The sequence below is a fragment of the Homo sapiens genome, chromosome 15 (assembly GCF_000001405.40).
Source record: "Homo sapiens chromosome 15, GRCh38.p14 Primary Assembly".
Lineage (NCBI taxonomy): Eukaryota > Metazoa > Chordata > Mammalia > Primates > Hominidae > Homo > Homo sapiens.
Genome location: NC_000015.10, coordinates 85,000,414 through 85,027,117, shown reverse-complemented (window position 1 = coordinate 85,027,117; position 26,704 = coordinate 85,000,414). Strand labels below are relative to the sequence as shown.

Below are 26,704 nucleotides of genomic sequence, written 5' to 3'. Positions count from 1 at the left end.
GTCCCAAAGGACTTTTTGTTCTTACAGGCAAAGGACAATCAATTCCTTAGGTTCTCATCTTTATAACAAAGAACCACACAATAGTAACCTATTAACTGAGGTATTAAGAGATAAAATTTGGTGTTCATAAACCAAATTAGATGTTACTACAGTTAAGCAGTGTTTTAAAAAATGTTTTTGTAGACCACAGAAAGAAAAACGTTACCTCATAAACCAGAACACACAGACACACATAACTGAAACACAAGTTTCACAATGCCTTTTTTGACTACATGAGGCACTCTGTTGTTCTATATTCTAACTTGTTTTATTTTTTAAATTTAGTTTTTTTGTTTTGTTTTGTTTTTTGTTTTGAGACAGGGCCAGGCTGGAATGCAGTGGTATGATCACAGTTCACTGCAGCCTCAAACTTTTGGGCTCAAGCATCTATCTTGTTTTAAAATGAACTTGTAGTAGTTTTAAAAACAGCCACAAATCTTTTGACTCTCTACCCATTGAGAGATGGGGATATAGATCTCCATCTCTCTATCTCCACCTCCCTTGAATCTGTGCAGGCTTGAGATAGCATCCACAAATCCGGAACAGAAGTGATGCCATGTAACTTCAGAGGCAAGGTTATCAAATGTCCTTGTTCTTTTGGAACACTGGCTCTCTAAATGCTTCCTCTGGGGAACCTCTCTCTTGGAACCCAGCCACCACACTGTGAGAAGCCCAGACCACATGGAGAGTCTACATGTAGGTGTTCTGGTCATTGGTCCCAGCTGATTCCACTAGCCTTCAAGGCACCCCAGCCCAGACATCAGATGTGGAGTAAAAGAGCCTCCAAATGATCCCAACCCCCAGCCATCATGGAACAAAGACAAGCCACCTCCCATTGTACCCTGTCCAATTCCTGAGCCACAGAATCCATGAGCATAATAAACGGTTACTGTTTAATGTCACTAAGTTTGGGGTGGTTTGTTTCACAGCAATTTAACTGGAACAATAGTGCTAGGCATAATCTGCTAAACTGATGTCATGACCCATTAGCAGGCAGTTTGACAAACACGGGTTCAGAGGTCACTAATTCCATATTTGAAGCCTGGCACTCAACAGTGCTGAGTTTCCACTATTGAATCTGTGCATATTCATACAAGTTGAAATTTTTGCAACTAGGGATGGATGGGATGGGTGTAGTGGGGTAAAGCAGATTACAGAGTGTTTTGCCCCATATATATGGTCAGCATCAAAAAGGCGTGAGACTCACTGGGACCAAACCTGAAGCTCAAAGGTGGGCCACATTGTTCTGGCCCGAGTCTCAAGGTGTTCCTGGCTTCCTAAGGATAACCTGATGTCCTTGTGCCAAAGCAGACACTTAAAGACTCCAGTGCCTTACAAAGACTTTTTGGTCTAAAGGTGGCCTATGTACCTCTATCCACTTCAACACTGTCAGCCCTCACTACAGTTTCAGGTTTTTCTATTAATGAATAACTTTCATCTAAATATAAACTCAGATTAATCTGTTAAGGATTAGCAGTCTAAAAAAGAGGGGGGATGATAAGAAGCATTTCTGGTAGATGGAGAGCATCCAGCAGGCCTGGGCCCAGAGAATTTAAGTGTAATTGGTTAACTGGGCTTTGGGTTTCTTTCTTTAAATGTCACTAGTTACGATAATAACATAGTACTGCCTGCCCCCACACCCCCTACCCACCCCCCTGGAAAAAACAGGAAATTCATGAATAGGACAGGACTCCCAGGAAAAAACGCCTGGGAATGGGGGCACTGAGGAAGCCTCCCAAATGAAAGGGAAGCTCTTCAAGCACCTCAAGAAAGTAGGTCACTTCAGGGAACTGGCTTCAAGGGAGTGCCCCTTAAAAGCAAAGTGATCCAGTTCAAAGGGGTAGTGGGAGTAAGGGTTGGGGGAGCCTCAAGTCAAAATTCAGGTGACTTCAAAAAAACAGGTCTGATCCAGGACTTATGGTGGCCTTAGGATGTGAAGAGCATAGTTATATTACATTCTTGGTGACCACAAAAGCAAGAACAAACAATTCTCAGTCTGAAACAGTGAAAGAAAAGGTTTATCTGATTTATACACAGCATGTTTGCTCCAACCCATAATGGAAAAACACCAGATAAATCTAATTTGTTTGTTTTTAATCTGGATATGCTGTTGTTCAATGCACTTTTTAATGTGTAATGCACACAGATCATTGAGTTTCTGAAAAACTGTATCTGGAGCATTGGTAAGCTAAAGCCGCTGTTCAAAAGAATGACTAACAACCACAACAGCAGCGGCAGCCCCATTAACACATCTGAGCCAACAAACACCAGCATGAGACACACTAGAAGCAGAGAAACTAGAATGAACAAGTCCGAATTTTTGCCTGGCACATAGGTCACTCAGTAAGAGTCAATAGGGGAATGAAATGCATGGGCAAACTACTGGGAAATTTTGGGCAGCTAAGGAAGACTAAGAACAAAGAAGTTTCTTTTGACCCCCTCTGCTGAGGGTAGAGAAAAGCAAAAGGGAAGTTAATGTAACAAAAAGCCTACGCAGTAGGAGTAATAGAGGGTGAAAAGAAAAAAAAAAAGCCTAAGCAAGATGAAAGACTGACTGGCCCACATAGAAATTAGTTGGTCACTAAAAGAGAAACAACCTGCATGGAACTTGGCTAAGGCCAAACTAAGAAAGGGGCTTGTAACTTCAGAAAAAGATTCAAGATGAGCTGACAAAAGAAAGTCACCTATTAAGGAGAGAAATTACAAACTAGACCAAATTCACTTCTTAAATGGCAATTTCATATAGTTCAACCAAATATATGCCAGGTACTGTGCCAGGGATGCAAAGATACAGTCCCTGCTTTCATCAAGGAAGTTATGGTCTAGGGGAGGGAAGGACAGCAGACGATGATATGGTATGATACCTGCTAAGTTAGAGATAAGCATAAGGAACATAGGGACAGATAGACGGATCAGAGGGTTCAAGAAAGATTTCCCGGAAGAGGTGATCTCAGAGCTCAGTCTTAAAGGGCCAGCAGGAGTTAGCCAGGTAGAGAAGGTAGGCAAGGGAGCTACAGGAAGAAGAAATACAAGCAAAGGCCCAATGACCAACTTTTTTTTGGAAATCTGAGCAAATTCCACTCTTCGTAGCATCAAGACATCTTTGGAGGCTGTGGACAGCCAGTTCCACCAAACCTCCAGGTCCAAACCATCCCTGATCCCTTGGCAACCAAAATGCCATCTTTTAAGTGTGTTCATGCCATCTGGCCTCAATACTTCATTCCTGCTCAACTCTCCCTCCTTCCCTGAACACTTGGAACACTGTCATCCCCCCTCCACCAATGTCCTCCCATCAACCTGGTGGTGTCAATGTCCACATAAATAACCCATCCACCAATTTCAAGTTTTCTCACAACCCAGTGATCTTCACCTTACCCTGCTCCACTCCAGCCCCTCATCAGCCAGAACTGTCCCATGATGAAAATGCTAAACTCCAATATTCTACTCTCTAATATTCCTATGCTGCTAGCAATCTTGAACCTAATTCCTCCTCCAATAATTCTCTGACCTTCTCAAGACATTCACTCTTTTACCCTCTCTCCAATCCCACCTCCCCAGTTCTGTATAGACCACCATGGAGTCATAAACCACGTCTCCAAACAAAGTCCAACCCTCTTGTCCCACTCTCTGTTCTCCTACCTCCCTGGCCTTCCCACCACAATATGTGGCAAAGCCCCATCCCCAACCAACCCAATTATTTCCTATGCTTCTCCACCTGAGCTGATAACCACTGCGGGAGAAAAATAACAGAGCCTTGCAGACTGAGGCCACCAAGAATTCATGGTCTCTACCACCAGAAGCCTAGAAATCCTTTGGTGAACCCCAGACAATGCTCTTATTCCCCACAACACTTTCCCTATTCAGCGACGTCCTCAAGACGTGTACCTGCTAACTCTTAGGACATAATCTCACTCCTATTTCACAAAGCAAAATGAGGCAATTAGGGAACAACTCCTTCAAATGTTTGCCTACTCATAACCTGAAAAACAGTACTGTTCCCTTCCCTTCATTCCTTCCAACTTCCTCCTGAGTGTCCGTTCTCTTGCCAAGAGCTAACCCCATTACCTAGGTCTACCTTTTCAGGGAAACTCCCTTAACAGTCCCCTCTGTCTTGATCGTTAATCTCTCCTACTGACTCTGTCCCTTTAGCATGTAAACATGTTCATATATCTTCATCTTCCATTCAACAAAATAAATATTCTCTTGATCCCATTAGATATAAATCTGGCTAGGTCCGGTGGCTCACGCCTGTAATCCCAGCACTTAGGGAGGCCAAGGTGGGCAGATCATCAGAGGTCAGGAGTTCGAAACTAGCCTGGCCAACATGGTGAAACCCTGTCTCTACCAAAAATACAAAAAAAAAATAGCCAGGTGTGGTGGCATGCACCTGTAATCCCAGCTACTCCGGAGGCTGGGGCAGGAGAATTGCTTCAACCCGGGAGGCAGAGGTTGCAGTGAGCTGAGATCACGCCACTGCACCCCAGCCTGGGCGACAGGGGTGACAGAACAAGACTCCATCTCAAAAAAAAAAAAAAAAATTTTGCATATATATGACACTACCATGCCATAGCCCCTTCTGAAAAATGCCGCCTTGCCTGGTTTATTCTAGTTAATATGATCTATGTCAGACATTACAAAAAAAAAAAAAAAAACACTTCCAATACCCAGACAAAGCTGCCTGGGTGGACTGGTGCTAGAGCTAGAGAAGAGCAGACAGGCAGAGGCAGGGTGCCCCGTCCAGCATGGGTGAGAACTCGACCCATCCAGGTCCTGTCCAAACAGATATAACAAAATGTGAAGCACCCATGTCTTTGGACCAATGCTGAGATCTAGCTGCCCTTTTCTACAAAGCTGCTGTACATCTCAGCTGAAAAGAACTAAGACAAACCCCAAATGGCTGAATAACAAGCTGTCAAAACATGCTACCCATGAGTTAAAATTCACCATTTGGCAACTATCCGTGGTATTAGCTATTTCAGACAAAAATGACCAATGAATGTTAAAACTAGTTGGTGAAAGCTTAATGATTAAGAGAATTTGTATATAGTCTTAAAATACTTCCCCATAAGATATTTATTCATTTCAAAGCAGAAAATACTAAGGAAACCTGGCAGGCACCACCTTAAGTGATCACAGTGAAAATCACCAGTAATGGAACAAACAGATGGAATGTGCCTTCTGATATGATGCAGTAAGGAGGACACGCAACCTCCCTTTTGTGGTATTCCCGCCAAACGTGCACAGCCTGAATCTATCACAAGAAAACAGGAGACAAAGCAAACATAAGGAAAATCCTACAAAATAACTGTTCCGTACTCTTCAAAAACATCTAGATCTCAATGGACAGGTACTTAAGAATTGCCTCAGGCTGAAGACTAGAGAGACATGATAATTTAATGTGTGATCCTGGATTGGATATGAGATCAGAAAGTAACAGTATTTTTTTTTCTTCTGCTGTTGTCTTAGTCAGTTTGAGCTGCTATAACAAAATACCTTAGACTAGGTAACTTTTTTTTTTTAAGAGCCAGGGTACTGCTCAGTTGCCTAGGCTGGAGTGCAGTGGCACGATCATAGCTCACTGCATCCTTGAATTCCTGGGCACAAGCAATCCTCCCACCTCTGCACTACCACCACCCCCAACCCCAGTAGCTAGGACTACGGGCAAAGGCCACCATGCCCAGCTAAATTTTTAATTTGTCTTTAGAGACGGGGTCACATTATGTCACCTAGGCTGGTCTTGAACTCCTGGCTTCAAGCAATCCTCCCACCTCAGCTTCCCAAATTGCTGAGACTACAGGTGTGAGCCACCACACCAGGCTTGGACAATTTATAAACAGAAATTTATTTCTCACAGTTCTGGAGGGTGGGAGGTCCAAGATCAGTGTCTGGTGAGGGCCTACTCTTCATAGATGGCACCTGCTATGTGTTCTTACAAGGCGGACAGGAGAACAAGCTCCCTCAATCTTCTTTTTTAAGGGAACTAATCCCATTTACAAGGTCTCTGCCCCCATGACCTAATCATCTCCCAAAGGCCCCACCTCTTAATACCATTGCATTAGTGATTAGGTTTCAACAAGAATTTTGGGAGAATACGAACATTGAGACCATAGCAGCTACAAAGGAAATTAGTGGGACAACATGAATAAGGTCTGTGGTACTAACAATACTGTAACAATGTTAATTTGATGATCTTGGTAACAGTATTGATAATAGAGAATGTCCTTATTTTTAGGAATTAACACACTGAAGGGATGTAAAGGGGCATCGGGTATGCAACTTACTTTAAATGATTAAGAAAATAATAATAATATGGATACATACAGGCAATAAATAGAAGCCCATGGTAAAATATTAGTAACATTTGGGCAATCTGGGTAGAGACTACGCAGGAATTCTTTGTACTTTTTTTGGTAAATTTTCTCTAAGTCTAAAATTATTTCAAAATTAAAAAAACTTTTTGTTGTTGTTTTGTTTGTTTGTTTTGAGACACAGTCTCGCTCAGGCTAGAGTGCAGTGGTACAATTTTGGCTCACTGCAACCTCCACCTCCCGTGTTCAAGCACTTCCCGTGCCTCAGCCTGCCAAGTAGCTGGGATTACAGGCACGCGCCACCATGCCCGGCTAACTTTTGTATTTTTAGTAGAGACAGGGTTTCGCCGTGTTGGCCAGGCTGGTCTCAAACTCCTGACCTCAGGTAATCCACCCGCCTTGGCTTCCCAAAGTGCTGGGATTACAGGCATGAGCCACTGCGCCGGGCCCTTGTTGTTTTCTTAATGCCCAGAGCTGTGAGAAGTATGAGGAAAAACTCGCCAAAACCACAACTGTGACTGAAGGACTTCAAAACACTACTCTCCTTCTTTGGCAGACAGATCACATAAAAAATAAACACAGACAGAGAATTGAGAAGATTAGTAATCTTGTGCCTAAGAAAGAATACCTATTATTTGCCAATGACCATGATCATTTAAATAAAGGGGCAACCATAAACCTCCTTCTTTGACTCATTTCTGACTTTACTGGTGGCTCCATTTGTAATGTAGATCACCAACCACCCGGCCTGCAAAGTGCCAGAAGAGAGACTAAGAAGAGAATCCTAGTCACAGGAAGCCAAAAAAAAAAAAAAAAAAAAAAAAAAACCAAAAAAAAACTCCCCCAAAGTTCTCCAGAGACCCAAGAGCCTTTTCGAAACATACACACTGGCCACGCATAGTGGCTCATATGCCTGTAATTCCAGCACTTTGTGAGGCCAAGGTGGGCAGATCACTTGAGGTCAGGAGTTTGAGACCAGCCTGGCCAACATAGTGAAACCTCGTCTCTACTAAAAATACAAAAATTAGCCAGGTGTGGTGGTGGGTGCCTGTAGTCCCAGCTACTTGGGAGGCTGAGGCAGGAGGATCACTTGAACCTGGGAGGTAGAGGTTGCAGAGCCAAGATCATGCCATTGCACACCAGCCTGGGTGACAAGAGCGAAACTCTGACTCCAAAACAAAACAAAAAAAACCCCACAAAAATAATGAATAGTATTAAGAAGCCAAGCACAGTGCTCCTGTAATGCCAGCTATTCGGTAGGGGCTGACATACGTGGATCGTTTGAGCCCAGGAGTTCTAGTCCAGCCTGGGCAACACAGCGAGACCCCATTTCTTTAAAATAAAATTTTAAAAGTGTTAAGAACACTCATAAACCCATCACTCAAATCAAAAATTTTTTAAATGTTGATACATTTGCTATGTCTATCTTTTTGACTGTAGTATTTTCAAGAAAATCCCTCACATTTTTCACCCCTAAATACATCTATGTGTGTATGCAGATTTTTCTACTCAACCACAATTCCATTTTCACACCTAACAAAATTTAAAAATAACCTCTTAATATCATCCATCACTCATATACATTTCCCTTACAGAAGAGTTTTTAACTCCTAAGTTCCTCACACCAAAACCTTTTACCCCAGCAAGTTCACAATAGTGAACTGCCCTTACCACCAAAGGGCAACCTCTTTAGAGATGGAAGCAGGGAGGCAGCAAGGCTTGACCAACTACACCTCCCAAGTAACTATACTGCTAGGAGAGTCTATAAAAAAGGACAATTTCTACATGATGCAAAAATACCAAAATCCATTTTTAAAACAGAGGAAAAATATTTTCATTATACAAAGAGTAAATAACCTTAATGTAAATGGTACTTACACCCCAAAGTAAAAATGATCCAAGAGCATTAAAAATGGCAAAGGTGGATGTATCAATTCCAAAAAATACATTTAAAATATTCTTACTAGTAATCAAATAAGTACATATTCATATAACAACTTGCTATTTGTCATCCAAATTAGCAAAGATTTTTTTGAAAAAAGAATTCATACTGGTAAAAATGTGGCTCTGCAAGTGTGTAAAATGGAGAACAATTTGTCATTATGTTCCAAAATCCTTACTCTATTTCCAGGAATTATCCTAAAGAAAGCATAAGATATATACACATAATTATAGAAACAAGCATTTCATGGCAATGTTACTTATTCCTAATACTAAAAAAAAGATGATGTGAGGGTTAACCATCTACCCAATAGTAAGAGACTGGTTAAATAGATCATGGTTTGCCCCTAAGATGGATACTAGAGATTGACGTTGCTTAAAGTGTGGCCCGTGGACCAACTGTTAATAATCCACAATGAAATAAAGAGTTTAAGACAGAATGCAGATCAACCACAAAAATTTTTTAACAACAAAAAATCCTCAAGGAAGAAATCAGTAAATGAGTGTGGTGACTTACATCTGGCATAGACTCATCTTGTCCTGAAACAGTAAGAAACAGTTTATCTACATGACTATTTTAATTAGTACCACTACAGACTCTACTTCCAAAATATATCCCAAGTTTGCCTATATCCCTCTACATCTACTGCTACCATGAAATCCAAACTACTTCTCTGAAGAGCTGCAAAAGTCCTGTAGTTAGCCTACTGCCACTTCTGTTGCTCTACAATCTACTTTTCACTTGATAGCCAAAGTGGTTGTTTTGAAACGCTCATCAAACCATACTTATTCTGGATATTATAACTACAGAATTGAGAGTAGAAATAATCACAATATCTACCACCACCATCCTGGGCATATCTCATCCATACTTTGAAAAGAAGCAAAAAACACAAAAACTTTCTCCACATAATTTCCTCCCACTATTGCTTTTTTTTTTTTGAGACGGAGTTTCGCTCCTGTTGCTCAGGCTGGAGTGCAATGGCGCGATCTCGGCTCACTGCAACCTCTGTCTCCCAGGTTCAAATAATTCCCCTGCCTCAGCCTCCCTAGTAGCTGGGATTACAGGTGCCCACCACCACACCCGGCTAATATTTATATTTTTAGTAGAGACAGGGTTTCACCATGTTGGCCAGGCTGGTCTTGAACTCCTGACCTCAAGTAATCCACCCGCCTCAGCCTCCCAAAGTGTTGGGATTACAGGCGTGAGCCACCGTGTCCGGTCTTATTCCTTTAATAAAAGTGTAAAAGTCTGCTAAATATTAATGGGGAAAAACTAGAACTTTCCTGACAAAGTTAGAAACAAGACACACTATTTTGTATAAAACATTATCTTCTTTATTATTTTAACACTGTATTAAAGATACTATCCAATGCAATAAGAGACTGCAATTAGTGGTCTAAAAATTGGAAAAGAGGTAAAACTCTATTTACAAATAATATAATGATATGTCTGGAAAACCCCAAAGAATTTATGTGCTATGTATTACAAATCAGAGAACTTAGCAGGCTATATAAGAAACATATCAAAATCAACAGGCTTCATTTATTTATTTTTTTTTTTTTTGGAGTCTCGCTCTGTCGCCCAGGCCGGACTGCGGACTGCAGTGGCGCAATCTCGGCTCACTGCAAGCTCTGCTTCCCGGGTTCACGCCATTCTCCTGCCTCAGCCTCCCGAGTAGCTGGGACTACAGGCGCCCGCCACCGCGCCCGGCTAATTTTTTGTATTTTTAGTAGAGACGGGGTTTCACCTTGTTAGCCAGGATGGTCTCGATCTCCTGACCTCATGATCCACCCGCCTCGGCCTCCCAAAGTGCTGGGATTACAGGCGTGAGCCACCGCGCCCGGCCCAGGCTTCATTTATTAAAAAAAAAAAAAAGGGAAATTCAGTTAGAAACATAATGGAAGAGAAAATCCTACTTATGAAAGCAAAAAATAATAGAACATCTGGCATAAACTCAATAAGGAACTCTATGAGGAGAGTCATAAAAACACTCCCAAAAAACCACAAGAGATTTAAACAAGTAAAAAGACATACCATGTTCTTGTATAAGAAGATACAACATCACAATGATGTCAGTTCTCCCTATACTAATTTGTAAATATAATACAACCTCAATAAAAAGAAAAAACCTTTGAGTTTTCTTCCCACAGCTAGACAAGCTAATTATAAAGTTCATCTGTAAAAACAAACAAGCAAGAACAGCCAGAAGACCCTGAAAAGGGAAAGAAAAGAGAGAGGAATAGCCTTGCAAGATAATTCTTATACAGCTCTATAATTAAAACAGTGTGGTAGTGGCACATAATTAAAGAGAGACTAATGGAACAGTACAGAGAATCCAGAAATGAACTCAATTATGAATGGAATTTATCTCAAATTAGTGTGGGGGAATGAACAAAATAAGTGGTGCTGGGAATAATTCCATAGCCATATGGAAAAAAAGATTAAACTGAATTTATTCCTCATATCATACACCAAGATAAATTCCAAATGGATTGAAGATTTAAATGTGAAAAATAAAACCATTGAGTACATGGGTAAATATTTTATAACATGGAGTATGGAAAGCTTTCCCATTATGACTCAAACTCCAGAAGATATTAGGGGAAATATTGTTAGAATTAATTACATAAAAATTTAAATTTGCAATGACAAGTCATTTTTTAAATTTTATTTATTTATTTATTTTGAGACCAAGTCTTGCTTGGTCACCCAGGCTGAAGTACAGTGAGTGGCGCGACCTCAGCTCACTGCAACCTCCACTTCCCGGGTTCAAGTGATTGTTATGCCTCAGCCTCCCAAGTAGCTGGGATTACGGATGTGCACCAACACACTCAGCACATTTTTGTATTTTTAATAGAGACGAGGTTTTGCCATGTTGGCCAGGCTGGTCTCCAATTCCTGGCCTCGAGTGATTGCCCACCTCACCCTCCCAAAGTGCTGGGATTACAAGTGTGAGCCGCCACGCCCAGCCGACAAGTCATCTTAAAACAAAAGGAGAAATAAAGAAATGGAAAGAATATTTGCAATATAGAAAGAGATGCCAAAAATGGAAGGAAAATACAAACGACCCTTTGGAGAGAGTCTAGAGTGATATGGACAGATAGTTAACAAAAAAAGGAATGCAGAGTTTAAACATGTGAAAAGATGCTCAATCTCAATCACGATATGAGAAGTAAAATGATAACTAAAAACCATAGTGAGATATCACAAAATATTCTATGGCAAGGCAGTAGAGAAATAATACTTTCTGATACACTGCTGGTAAAAATTCAGAATGGTACAACCCTTATAGAGGGAAATTGAACAACACCTAGCAAAATTCACATTAAAAAACAAAAAAGATGACTCTCAGCACTTTGGGAGGCTGAGGCAGGTGGGTTGCTTGAGCCCAGTAGTTTTGAGACCTGCCTGGGCACCATAGTGAGACTCCATCTTTACAAAAATTAGCCAGGCGTGATGTGGTCCCAGCTACTCAGGAGGCTGAGGCAGGAGGATCACCTGAGCCCGGGAGGTCGAGGCTCCGGTGAGCTGTGATTGCACCACTGCTCTCTAGCCTGGGCAACCCTGTCCAAAAAAAAAAAGACTTATGCACAAGGTCATATAATAATGTAGGGAAACAACTCAAATGTTCAAATGTTCACCAACATGAGCTGGTTAGCTAAGGTATAGACAGATCAAGCCGGTGGAGCACTGTGCTGCTAAAAAAGGAAGGAGGAACTGATTCAAACTATTAATAAAACATGGATGAACCTTGAAAACATTATGCTAACTGAAAGAAACCAGACACAAAGGCCAGAAATTATATGATTTTACTTAAATCAAACGTTCATTGGTAAATTCAGAGAGACAGAAAATAGATTAGTGGTTGCCAGAGGCTGGGGGTGTAGCGGGTAAAGGGGCAGGAGGCAATGGGGAGGGACTGTTATTAGGTACAGGGTTTCTTTGATGAAAACATTCTAGGATTAGTGGTAATGGTTGCACAACTTTGATTATACTAAAAAACCAATGAATTGTCTACTTTATAAGGGCGAGTATATGAATTATATTTCAATTTTTTTAAGAATGAACAATTCCTCCATAGACAACTATGGAGTGATCCCAAGGATATGCTGTGAAGCGAGAAAAGCAAATCAAGAGTACTATGTACAGTATGCCACCATTTCTCTAAAAGGGGTATAAATATATGAACATCAATATAGGTAATAAGAGCAATTGACTGAAACATATCAAATACATTAAAATACTTAACTTCATAGTAATACAAATAACATTTAACAGGTCCCCTTTGGAGGATATTAGGAAGTCAAACCATTATTCTGAAAACTGGTATAATAAATGGAGAACAAGAAACAAGCATTTATCCTGCCTATGCTATTCAAACTTTATCACATAGTTAATGAGAGGAGCTTCTCTTTATAGAGGTATTCAGTATTAAATGAAAAAGTAATGAGAGAATTAGAATATCACCATTTGCCGCCATATCACCACTAATGAATGAAATATGTGATGACTGTGGCCAGGACTAGTGGCCCGCACCTGTACTTCCAACTCCTCGGGAGGCTGAAGCAGGAGAATAGCTTTAGCCCAGGAGTTCGAGGCTGCATTAAGCTATTATCATGCCACTGCACTCCAGCCTGGTAGCCTGGGGGACAGAGCAAGACCCTGACTTTAAAAAAAAAGAAAAAGAAAAAGAAAAAGAAAGGAAGAAAGAAAGATGTGATTATCATCACAAGATCGTGTATCATCTCCACCCTGAATCAAGGCTGGTATATGTAATGCATAAAATACAGTGGAACTGACAATATGTAGTCTAGGCTAGGTCAAACAGGGCATTGTAGCTTCTGCTTTGACTTCCTGGATCACTTCTCTGCGGGAAGCCAGCGGGTACCTGAGCAGCCCTGTGAAGCTGACACACATGGAGAGGAATTGGGCCTTTCCTCAAACCCCAAAACATCCTGCACTAACTTGGCCAATCATATGAGTGAAGCACCTTGGAAGTGAATCCGCTGGCCCACTAAAGGTTTTGGATGACCAAAGACCCAGCCAACACCTGACTGCAACCTCAAGAGAGACTATGAGCCAGAACTATTGAGCCCCGCTTCTCTCAAATTCCTGAACCAAAGAAACAGTGAGAAATAAATGCTTATTACTGTTTTAAGCCAGTAAACTTTGGGGTAATTTGTTATGCAACAAATACAACATAATTCTACTTTTGTACATGTTATAAATTCTCCACAATAAAATATTTCAAAATACTAAGTTGAGTAATTACAGACAATCCTTTAAACACAATTCCTTTATTCTGGCAAACACATATAATAGATTAAATTGAAGGAGAGGAAGAAAGAGCTAATAAAAATTTGTTGCTTTTCTACCTCACTGCCTTAAGAAAAGTATCATTTATCACATTATCTCAGTTAATCTCAAAAACTCTAAAAGATAGAATTCATTATTCCCATTTTGCAGATAAGAAAAGTGATGCTCAGAGAAGATAATAACTTGTTAAAAGTGCACAGTGGTAGAGGCAGGGTATAGGAAGTCTCTGTTCTTTCCACCACATCTCAAAGCCCTTTTAACCTTGTAATTTCTCTATCAAGCCCATCAGGATCAAAGTTGCTAAGGTCCAAATCTGTGAATTTTGTATGTAAATACTACCTTCCATCCCTTACAAAACATCTCTCTGCTTCCCCTGTTCTCACCAACAAATGCAGGGTCATTTAGTGTAGCCCTTAATTCTAAGCAACTAGAAATTGATGAAGAAAGAAAAAAGTGACAAGAGTACAAAGCTCCATTTAATATCCCCAGATTTCTGTTTAACTGTGGATGGGGCTGTTCTTCAGGAAACGATTATTAGAGTTAACAGTGGATCAGGTTCTCCAAAATTCTCCCACTCCCACTCTTTTGTTTCCAAAGTAAGAGGGTGATTATACAAGCCAATATAATATTATATTTCCTTCTTTGTTCCCAAGGGTAAATTGTATAACTGGGTATTATATAATCATTTATAAATCATCAAAATTAATTTCCAAATAAATTCTTAAAAAGAAAGCCCTAATCTACTTTTCGGAGTCTAACAATACTGTATGTTAAAACCATTATTTTCTTCTTTTTTTTTTATTCTATTATTATTATACTTTAAGTTTTAGGGTACATGTGCACAATGTGCAGGTTAGTTACATATGTATACATGTGCCATGCTGGTGTGCTGCACCCATTAACTCGTCATTTAGCATTAGGTATATCTCCTAATGCCATCCCTCCCCCCTCCCCCCAACCCACAACAGCCCCCAGAGTGTGATGTTCCCCTTCCTGTGTCCATGTGTTCTCATTGTTCAATTCCCACCTATGAGTGAGAACATGCGGTGTTTGGTTTTTTGTCCTTGTGATAGTTTACTGAGAATGATGATTTCCAATTTCATCCAGGTCCCTACAAAGGACATGAACTCATCATTTTTTATGGCTGCATAGTATTCCATGGTGTATATGTGCCACATTTTCTTAATCCAGTCTATCATTGTTGGATATTTGGGTTGGCTCCAAGTCTTTGCTATTGTGAATAGTGCTGCAATAAACATACGTGTGCATGTGTCTTTATAGCAGCATGATTTATAGTCCTTTGGGTATACACCCAGTAATGAGATGGCTGGGTCAAATGGTATTTCTAGTTCTAGATCCCTGAGGAATCACCACACTGACTTCCACAATGGTTGAACTAGTTTACAGTCCCACCAACAGTGTAAAAGTGTTCCTATTTCTCCACATCCTCTCCAGCACCTGCTGTTTCCTGACTTTTTAATGATTGCCTTTCTAACTGGTGTGAGATGGTATCTCATTGTGGTTTTGATTTGCATTTCTCTGATGGCCAGTGATGGTGAGCATTTTTTCATGTGTTTTTTGGCTGCATAAATGTCTTAATTTGAGAAGTGTCTGTTCATGTCCTTCGCCCACTTTTTGATGGGGTTGTTTGTTTTTTTTCTTGTAAATTTGTTTGAGTTCATTGTAGATTCTGGATATTAGCCCTTTGTCAGATGAGCAGGTTGCGAAAATTTTCTCCCATTTTGTAGGTTGCCTGTTCACTCTGATGGTAGTTTCTTTTGCTGTGCAGAAGCTCTTTAGTTTAATTAGATCCCATGTGTCAATTTTGGCTTTTGTTGCCATTGCTTTTGGTGTTTTAGACATAAAGTCCTTGCCCATGCCTATGTCCTGAATGGTAATGCCTAGGTTTTCTTCTAGGAAAACCATTATTTTTCTAACAATAAAGTTGAAGCTTCCCTTTTAGGCAACTGCAATTTATTGAGTGTTTTATAATTTTTTACACATTGACAGACCATTTTACATTCAAAATTTAATTAAAACTGGACAACTACCACCACTTTACAAATAAGAAAAAGCTAGGGCCCCGAAAGGTTATGAAACTTGCCAAAGGTCAAAAAGCAGGGAGAGACAGGGTTGAGTTTTGGACCAGTACTCTCTGGCTCCAAACCTGTCTTCTAACAACATTACACAAGAAGAAAAAAACCCTACAAAAATCATCCAGCAAATAAAGTGTAATGTAAATGTCTCATCTTCAATTCGTCTTCCTACTGGGCCAATCTGAACATTGCTTTTGGCTTAATTCTGTCAGGTTAGAATGGTGAGTGAGAACGTGCCACTTCCCCATATCTAACTGAAAAAGAACAGCTAAAGTTCAGAGAAAAATCAACATAGAGGATATTTATGATACTTGCAAAGTCGTTTCTAAGAACAGTTTGGAAGGAGGGAATGGGGAGGACAGCCAAGATTTCAATACAAAGGAGAGAAAAAGGAAATAGGGACTCTGAAACTAACTTCCAGGACATATTTCTCAGACTTAAAATAGACTTGACCTTAGGATTGTCATGAGAAAAGCCAGAACAAATGAAGTCATCATATATAAACTTCACTCTCAGGAACACGACTGGGGGAAACACAGAACTAGGTTAAGGGACACTGATTAGCCAATAACTGCTCCCCTCCTTCAGCTGAGTTTTCCTACAGGTCATACTTTAAGGCTATTAAAGTCACTATTATCTCAAAAATGTTCCATGCAACCTCACAGGGGCTCCAACCTCCTACTAACCCTAATTAAAAGTTGAAATGGGTGACAGAAAAAAAGACTGTTCCCTTTGAAGTCAGTTCATTCATTTGACAAATACCAATGAGTGTAGGCACTGTAGTGGTCCCTAGAGACATAATGACTGGCATAAATAGGCCCAGCGTCCTCAAGTTTAAACATCAGGAGAGGCAATCAAATACATACAGACATGTGAACTCCTAGCTGTGGTTCAGGACATGGTGCCCACAGAGGATATAACAGGGAAACTACACACTCCCTTCTGTGTGTAAGGAAGAGAGGGAAGCAGCTTATCAGATAAGGTTTCCAAAATGATGAGTATTATTTTGCAAAAAGGAAGTCAAACTGTTTGAGACTGAGGCTAAAGCACATGCTAAGTCCCTAAGACCAGAAGGGACAGGTGCATATGAACATGTGGCTCAAGTATAATAAACACTGAAAGTTTTTTTGATGGACATTTTTATTGAAGGTTAACATACTTACAGAAAAGAATATAAACCCTAAGTGTGCAGCTTGGTTAATTATCACAAAGTGAACTCACCCATATAATTACCACCTAGGTCAAAAATAGAACATTCAAAAGCCCTCAAGCCTTCTCCAAATCACTACCCCTCCCCTTCCTCAAAGGTGAGCCCTGTCCTAACTGCCAACACCATAGTTCTGCCTGATTTTGAACTTTGTATAAACTAAATCATATAGCATGTAATCTTTTTTTGTCTGGCTTCATTCACTCAACACGATGCTTATGAAATTCATGCATGGTGTTGCATGTAGCAATGATCTTTCATTTCCATTGCTATAAAGTGTTTCATTATATGCTTATATTACAGCTTATTCTTCTGATGAACTATGGGGTTATTTCTAGTTTTTAGCTAGTACGACTAATACTACAATGGACATTCTAGTAGTGACTTTTGGTGAACATATCTACACATTTCTGCTGGCTATATAACTGGAAGTAGAACTGGTGGTGAGAGAACATGCATATTTTCAACTTCAGTAAATATTGCCAACAGTTTTCCAAAGTAATCTTGCTAATTTACATTCCTGCTAACAGCATGTGACATTTGTTTTTTGTTTGGTTAGTTTTTGTCATAACAGACAAGATAACCTACCACAGTCCGGAGAAAATCTAAACTTTTGATGAAAACTGGCCAGGAAAAATACAATGGCCAATAGTCCCTTCTCCAGCCTGAAATCCTTGTGAGTACTTCTTTCCACAAATTTTATTATTTACCAACGAAAAGTCCTAAATTTTACAATGGGTATGATCTTAGGACAACAAATTCCATTACAAAGAAGGATCTGTAACATCCTTATTTCTAGGTCATAGAAAACAATGTGTAGGAATAGTATTTTGTTGGTCTGATTATAAACATTCTGTATTACCTACAGTCCAAAAGGATTTTCTAGTAGTCACTTTGAAAAGAAAGACTTTAGTTTTTACATCTCTTACATTAACAGGTAGAAGAGAACTAAAATTGTCTCCATAGGTCAGTTTTTTAGACTGCCTTTGCCTAGTCACAAAATAAAAATTACCTAGCTCTTATACCCTTTTCCACTTTGAATATCCTCAGACCCTAAACATCACACACACACACACACACACACACACACACACACTCTCTCTCTCTCTCTCTCTCACACACTAACACACCAGGAAGTGAAGAAAAAGGTCAGAAGTTGTGTGAAGGACACTTCCTTCTTTTTTCTTTTTACAGGACTCAAAACTTGTACCTCCCATGGGCCCAGTGTCAGAACAGGAGCCCTGAAGACAAGGGACAGACCAGCTTGGGAGAGATGCCTGGAAAGCCTCACAGGCTTACTAAGGTGGAATAGGTGCTGAACTCGAGACACAGGGAGAGGGAGGCTCTCTCTGTACCCCCAGCAGACAATGTTGGCAGACTATGCCTTAGCGAGGTTCAGCAAATGCAGATGGCTCAGCAGACAGGGGCAAGGTGGAATAGGGTGGGATGAAGGTGGTAATGGAGGATTCAGGCAGACTAGAGGAGGGAGGAAGTTCATATCAGGTGATAGGCTCGCACCCTTGGGGCCTGGAGTCAGAAAAGGGTTTGGCCGAATGCAAAGAAGACCTCAGCTGTGGGGAAGCTGGAGTACTGGCAGGTAGCCAGGATAAGGTATAAGAGCAAGACCTATACCTGGTAGCAGAATTTAAAATGGGAATGTGTCCACAGCCACAGGGTCCGGTTATTAAAAATGGGGCCCAGAGTGTGGAACTAGAATGACTTCAACTTTCTCCAACTGAACTGGGGGTGGGGGATGAGTTACACAGTATGGAGGAAGGGTCTGGTGAGGGGAAGCAGATATAGCTAAGGTTCAAGGAGAAAGGCAGTAATGGGGTCTGACAGAGTATTACGGGTATCAGCACGTGGAATTCTGAAAATATATTGAAGCAAATATAATTAACCCATATTTCACCATCACAACATTGCAAAGTTCCCTGGCTTCTGATCCCTCCCTGAGCCACTGACTATGCAGGCACAGACACTGTAGGGAAAGTCCTGGAATAGGACTTTCTGCAAAGGCCACAGCTGCCCAGACCACTCCCTATTAGAGGGAGCCAGCTTCTGACTCTCCCACTGTCACTCCTAGATACCCTGAGGCTCATAACACACAGCAATGCCACCCCTGCCACCTTCTCTTGACCTCTAAGTCACTCACATACATTAAGGACCTCAGTGCTTCAAGCTCACTCCAAGTACTACCATCACCCTGGGCAAGGTCAAGGTTCATATGGCAACACAACCACCTCACCCTTCCCTTTAATTCTGACTATGAGCTGCAGTCCAACCCCACTCCACTACAGGCACCACTGTATGGCCATACTTAGGAATGTCATTTGGCAGAATGTCCAAGAGCTCTCTCTGACCACAAATTTCCAATTCATCAGTTCTCCCTCATACATATTCGCATTTATAATAATTATTTAAAAAATAATAATACGCAACACTCTGGGAGTATTTACTATGTACTCAACACTATTGGGAGACTCATTTAATCCTCCCAGCACTCCTGTGATGTACGTATTATTCTCATTTTATATGACTTGAAATCTGAGGCACAAACAGGTTAAGTAATTTGCCCAAGGTCTCACAGCTATAAAGTTGCAGAGCTGAGATCTGAAAACAATGTGGTGGGGCACCGAAGTATGTGCTCTCTTTCATTATTTTTTACATTTTATTGAACATACACAGAAAGTACATATAGCGTAACTGTACTAATAGATTTATTTTTGCAAACTGAACGTACCTGTATAACCAGCACCCAGATCAAGAAGCAACATTACCGGCATACTAGAAGCCGCCCTGTGTCCCCTCCCAGTACCACTGTGCTGAATTCTAACAGCACAGATCTGTTTTGCCTGCTTTTGTGCTACTGTGGCTGGCTGCTTCTTCAGTCTTCACTTACCACCACCACCCATGCTGAATCGTGTTGAGAAGCTCCACCTATTAGGCACTGCTCTAAGCATATAATCATTTGGCCCCTTTAACTGACACTGCCTGGCCCTATATCATCTGTTCTCCTAGTCCCCCTCTAATGCTTTTCCCTTCTATCAAACCCAAACCCACATCCCACACTTTTGCTCTCTCATCAGTAGCTACTGGACATTCTGCGAAATGCAAAACTCCAATTCCAGATCAATCTAACTGTCTATCTTTCACCCATGTACAGAAGAATGGCCAAACACTGCTGAAGATCACACAGCTTGCAGAATGGTAATTAAATGCACAATGTCCCACCACAGCTGGACACCAAGTGCTGCCGAAGGTGCTTTCTCCATGTCCCCAACCACTCCTCCTCTCCTCTTCGTAGGGACTAGTCCAAATTCCAAATATTCCCTCTTCTCAAGTACATGTCAAAAGTCTCTAATGCCAGAAGGGACATCATATACATGCCCTAATCTCATCCTCCCACTCGCAATACAGTAGCCTAATTCCCTCCTATTTCAGTGAGCAATCCTAAAAATGTTTACCAGGGGTAAGTTTAAAAGGCAAACCAGGGAAAAAAAAAAAGTTATTCACCACACATGACAAAAAGATTAACATTCTTAACTTTTAAAAAATCTACACAAGAAGAAAAACTCTATTTCTCCAATAGGAAAACAGCCAAAGTAATAGACAATATAAAAAAAATTACAAATGGTTGATAAACATATGGACAAAGACTGATATCCGTTTCAAATCAACTTAATGCAAATAAAATTGGCCAAGATTAAAAATGGGTAATACCACATTCTTCCAGGTAGACTAAATGTTAATTCCCAAATCAAACTAACTGAGTGCCTGGACCATGTACTTTAGCCCCACCTGGAATCTGTGTATGGCATCCTGCCCTCAGCTTGCACTGAGAGACATTCACCACCACATTTATGATGGCAACATTGTTCAGAACCTTGTCCCTCTGAAAGGACCCATGAGAATACTTTCTTTTATTATTATTATTATAATAATAATACTTTAAGTTTTAGGGTACATGTGCACAATGTGCCGGTTAGTTACATATGTATACATGTGCCATGCTGGTGTGCTGCACCCATTAACTCGTCATTTAGCATTAGGTATGTCTCCTAATGCTATCCCTCCCCCCACCTCACAACAGTCCCCAGAGTGTGATGTTCCCCTTCCTGAGAGAATAATTTCTTTAGGTCTGAGCTCAGAAACTGTACTTCTCCTGAGTCATTTGCCATTTTTAAATCTCCAGAATTCTGCAACTGTTTTCGTATTTGGTGAGGCTGTGGAAGCTCAGAGCCGAACGTGTGACCCAGCCCCATGGCAATCATGCATGCCCCTGTGGCATGTGTTTCCACATACTGACCTCACTCCTGACTTAATTGGTCAGTTCTCGCCATGTTCCCTTGGCCCAATTTCCTTTTTTTTTTAAACTTATTATATGTATTTTTTAAGTTACTTAAACTCTTTTTGAAACAAAACGAGAGAGGGCAGTCCTAATGCTGAGGTTGTCCCCACTCTCCTGTCCTCCATATTCTGAGAGGAATGAATCAGATTGGACTTTCACAGTTTTCATTTGTCACCACAGGTGTATAAGGTGTCTGTGTCCTGGGCTAATGAATTCTGATTGTGCAAATTAGCTTCTTAAGCAATAGTCCCTAAATACTTGGTGATTTCTAATTGCCTTACTAAATACCATATAATTCTCTCAAAATGTTCTTTTAGGAACACCAGGGGGCATATTTTTCAAGACGGAGGTGCTATAAAATCAACAAATTTGACAAGCTATTCAAATTCTAAAATGGCCTGGAATATTTAACTCAAAATATTAAAAGTTCCTGTAATAACAGCTGGGCACAGTGGCACATACTTGTAATCCCAACACTTTGGGAGGCCAAGGCAGGAAGATTGCTTGAGTCCGGGAGTTCAAGACCAGCCTGGGCAATATAGTGAGAACCTTTCTCTACAAAAAAATTAAAACATTAGCCAGATGTGGTGGTGCATGGCAGCAGTCCCAGCTACTCAGGGGGCTGAGGTGAGAGGATCATTTGAGCCCAGGAGCTCAAGCTGTGATCATGCCACTATACTCCAGTCTGGGTGACACAGCAAGACCCTGTTTCAAAACAAAAAACAAAAAAAAGTCCTATAGTAATATAGAGATAATACCCAGCTATAAAACAAATGCATACTGCAATGTGTAAGATAAATGTATTCTATATACTTCCTAGATGAAAAGACAAACTTTAGAAAAGTCACTAAAACAAAACAGGAAAAAAAATCATATGGACTATGTTGAGTCCATATGATTCCATTATGGTGGAAGAGAAATAAAATGTCATAATGTATTCTTCAAAGAAACTATGTATCATTCAATCCAGAGAGAAAACATTGTCTAAAGGTAAAAAAAAAAAAAAAAGAATATTAAAAAATGTAATTATCCCCACTCTAATTCCAGAGAATGGGGAAGTGAAACTAAGATACATCCATTCAGACCCAACTTGGTTGTGTTCAAGTATTCAAAGAAACATCATAGAACTGACAGCAATGAACGGAAGCAGAACTTAGAGATTCAGATTGTATCCTTTCTCTCTCCCTATTCCTCTTCCATTTCATTGGTTGTATCAGCCAGGATGCTTGTGGTTGCAAGTCAAGAAAATTAATCTTAAAGTATTAGGCGATAGAGTGGATTTACTGCCTCATGCTAACGCAGAGTCCAGGGTCAGCTCTTGCGAGCTTCAGGAAAGGTTTGGTAGGACTTCACAATACGGGTTTGCAATTCTCTAAGCCTATTCTCACCCAGGAGTTGGCTTTGTCCTCACTGTGGGGGGCTGTGAGGGAGGTGGGAGGAACATCTTCCCCCAACCACTCCATAGTCTGATTGGGACAGTTTCTATGACATGCCTGCCCCTGAATTAGTAACTGGGACCAGATGAATTCCATGTCCTGCTCAGCTTGGGCCTGGGTTATGTATCTATTACTGAACCAATAAATGAGGCAAGGATGTTGCTGGGGCCCACCCTAGAGCTGGAAATGAGCTCAATCCCACCCAAACTACACAACTATTATGCATGGCAAAGGGGAAAAGGGGAAGCAACAAATGTTACCAAAGAAGCTGTGGCAGAGGCTGGCTTGCTGGCTACTGAAACTCAGTTCCTCTTCTTATTGGGCACACAGCTAGATCATATTTCCCAGCCTTCAGTGAAGTGTGGCCATGTGGCCAATGGAAAGTAAGTAATCTGACATGGACCACTTCTAGACCTGGCCGTTAAAAACCTCTCACTCATGACCCTCCATGCTCTTTTCTCCTTTTGGGAGCTTGTCCATATAGACAAGCATGGCAACCTTGGCAACCATATGTTGAAGATAAAAGAGCCACAGATAGAAGGAGCCTTAGTCCCTGAATCACTGCTTTGAGAACAGTCTTCCACTCTTCTCTAAGGACAGGGTAAAATGAGAAGTGATGAGCAATGCAGGGTAATTAAATATCTCTTAGGCAGGCTACACGAAGTAAGGGAGAACGTCAACTGGGAAGCCTTGTTGAAATTTTCCTACAAATTACCTATTCTTCTCTTAGCAAACAGAGTAAGTGGAAAAGTTCTCTAACAATTCAGAATACAAACTGCCTCAGGGTAAGATTAGGAATAAAAACTATCATTACATATAAAAGTAGTATTAATTCTTATGCTGAAAAAGCGTTTTGGGGCCTTGGCTGAACCCCAGTGCAGGGACAGCTATTGTTCTGATCAGTACCCTCACCTCCTCTGAGGGGCGCTCCCCCTCATTGCAACTATCCTGTTCTGTGAAAGTTGTTGCCCATCGCAGAGGTCGTCCACTGGCTGCTGGGGTGGGCAGGTGTTTCCAAGCCAGGCCCATCTTGGTTTTTCCCCAGGATTTTCAAATTGGAATTAAGGGAAGAAGCTCTCTACTGATGAAGTTATAAAATGTGAGGCCAGGAGCTACTGATGGACATTGTTTCCTGTTGAACAGCAAAAAGTAGCCCAAGGAAACAAAGATGGCACCAATGACAGGGAAAGATGGAAAAAAAGTCCTGGTTTCATTTGTACCAGAGGCCAGCATACCCATGTCCTTCCCTTGGTCTGGTTATGTAAGCCAGAATATGGTGATCCACAAATTCCACTTCTGGCTTCAGCTAGTTTAGAATGCATTATGTCACTTACAGTCAAAAGAAACCTGACCAATATAATCAGGAAACTTGACTGAAAAAAAAAAATTCATGACATCTCACTAAACTCAAAGAAGTAAAATGAAAAACACAGAAATACCAAAGTATAGTTGTGATATAATAAGAAATACATATTTTGGTCTTCTTCCACAATTCCTCACTCATAGCTTATCTTTTGTTAAAATATTTGGTCTTTTGTCCTGAAACAGCTCTGGAGCAGCTCCAGGCCAATAAAGGTGAAAGAAGTGACTTCTGTTATTCCTAACAAGCCCCTTCCACAACACCGGAGTTTATGCTAATGAGGTGATTTGTGGAAAGCCCCTAGATAACCACAAGATGGGGTGCTGGTTACCACAGCAAGCAACCACAGGATTAAAGGGTTGGGATTTTCAGCATACCTCCCCCACCTCCCCCAGGAAAGATGAGAGGAAATGGGAATCGCTTCTCGGCCTTTTGGCTAAGATCAAGTGGAGAGGAAATGGGTTGAGAGTTGAGCTGATAACCAATGGCCGATGATTTAATCAACCATGCCTATGTAATGAAGCCTCCATAAAAATCCAGAAAGATGTGTTCAGGGACCATCCAGGTTGGTGAACAAGAACACATCCACATGCCAGAGGGTGGCGCACCCAACTCTACAGGCACTGAAGCTCCTGTGCTTGGGACCCTCTAGACCTAGCCCTGTGTATCACCTCTTTGTCTGTCTGTTCATTTGTATCCTTTAATAAATATATCCTTCCTAATAAACTGGTAATCTAGTAAGTAAACTGTGAGCCAGTCTAGCAAATCATCAATCCCAAGAGGGTGGTCATGAGAACTTCCAATTCGTAGCCAAGTCAGACAACAATTAGGGGCAACCTAAAGACCTACTACTTTCGATTGGCATCTGAACTGGGGGGGCAGCCTCCTTAACCTGGGGGGTCTACACTAATTCCAGTCAGAATTGAATTGAACTTTAGGGCACCCAAGCTGGTGTCCACAAACTGAAAAGCTGCTTTACGTGTGTGGGAGTTTTTTAGGAGGCCAATGCAGGAGGATCACTTGAGGCCAGGAATTCAAGACCAGCATGGGCAACATAGCGAGACCCCATCTCTTAAAAAAAAAGGTAGAATTTTGAAAAGGTGAACCTTTAAGGTAACCTCAAGCCCCCTGGATTGTCATAAGATTAACTTAGTTCATGCACAAAGTACTTAGAACAGTGCCTGGTATGCAGTAAACAGTCAATACATGACAGCTTTATTGTTATACCAGTCTTAGTTATTTCCAGGCTAGTGACCCACGCTTTAATAAGGTGTCACAGCTAGAAACGTATCAAGCTGATCATAGAAAGTGTGTTTGTGCCACACACTCACTGTGATCTCATAATCCAACACTCAGCAGTGCACCATCAAATCCAGAAGATCTTTGATTTGTAATGACGTCTTCAGGTGCCCAACAAGGTGAAGCCACTTCAACAACCTCAGATCCCTCCTGGAGTTCAACAAGGATACCCAGTACCAGCCACCATGCTCTTCCAGTCCCTAGGATATCCATCCATTCTCCGTGACCTTCTTCCACTCTCTGGGTCCTCAAGGCCATAGTGAAACAGTCAGGAGGGAAAAACTGTCCTACAGCAGACCACAGGAACCTCTCCATCCTCTGAGCATGCATGACTTTGACAGTTGGAACCCTTTATCATATCTTAGTCTTGCCTTTTTTTGTTTTTGTTTTTGTAATGGAATATTGCAAATACAAAAAAAAGGGGGCATTTTTTCCAGACATAAAATCTTTTAACAGTTACCTACTTCCTTCTTAGTGCTCTACCTTCATCGAGGTTTTTTTGGTTAATTACACTGATTAAATTGGGAAGAAATTCTTGCGGAGCATTGGCAAGGAAACTGCACCGTCAAAAGTCCAGAGGTTATCAAGTCCCTGGAAATGTGAGTACTCGAGGCATTCAGTGTGTGAGGCACAGGAAGAAGCTGGAGAGGGCGCAGGAACCCATCAGGCTGGGCTTTACAGACCAAAGAAAGGAGTCTGAATTTGGCAACTGGGAGTTACAGGGGGTGTTAGACAGGGGAACAGAACAATGGTATCTGCATTTGCTCACTCTGCTCCTTTTCTGAACCTCTGCTTGCAGGGTAGAGATCTCCTAGACCTCTGCATGTAGGTTCTGGTTATCTGGGAGTTAGAAAAATGAGGTCTGAAGACAAGTTTTTCAGAAGAATGGATAAGGTGGGATAAAAATTCCAGAAAATGTCCTCATAAGGAAGAAAAACAGGGCAGATTATTTTAGCTACCTGGCTCTACAGTGGTAAAGAAAGCTAAGAAGGCTGAGGGCCAGAGCAAAGCACTCACTGCCACCATTTAGAAACCACTGACTCCAAATGGACCTGGTGGGGAGGAGCCAGGGCCCAGTTCACATGCCATGCTTGAAGGTCTTTCCAGAGCCTAGCTATGGGACAGGTACACTTCTCTGATTAGCCAGGGCCTGCACACTGGAAGAACAAGGCCAGTTCATAATAACCCTGAACAGAGACCACCTCCAGCCAGCCTACATTATTTTACTACAGCAGAAACTGAGCACAGTAAGCAAAGCTAGCCCTATAAACAACTGAACCTAAACCAAAACCATGTGATTACCCAAGAGATTCAGTGGGATCTGAAGCTGTCCTACACTGCAGAAAC

The 26,704-nt window shown here is 41.2% G+C and overlaps 1 protein-coding gene across 7 annotated transcripts in view, besides 1 other annotated feature; it reads right to left on the bottom strand.

The window, feature by feature from the left end:
* The window catches only part of PDE8A (phosphodiesterase 8A), a 158,676-nt gene that overhangs the window by 112,025 nt on the left and 19,947 nt on the right, over positions 1-26,704 (bottom strand). The gene's annotated exons all lie outside the window — the stretch shown is intronic.
* Positions 18,342-18,391: a silencer, noted in NCBI's record as "silent region_6777". NCBI's record gives its function as "represses an Ori minimal core promoter by ATAC-STARR-seq in GM12878 lymphoblastoid cells {active_cell/tissue: GM12878}" and the evidence as "EXISTENCE:reporter gene assay evidence [ECO:0000049][PMID:35858748]".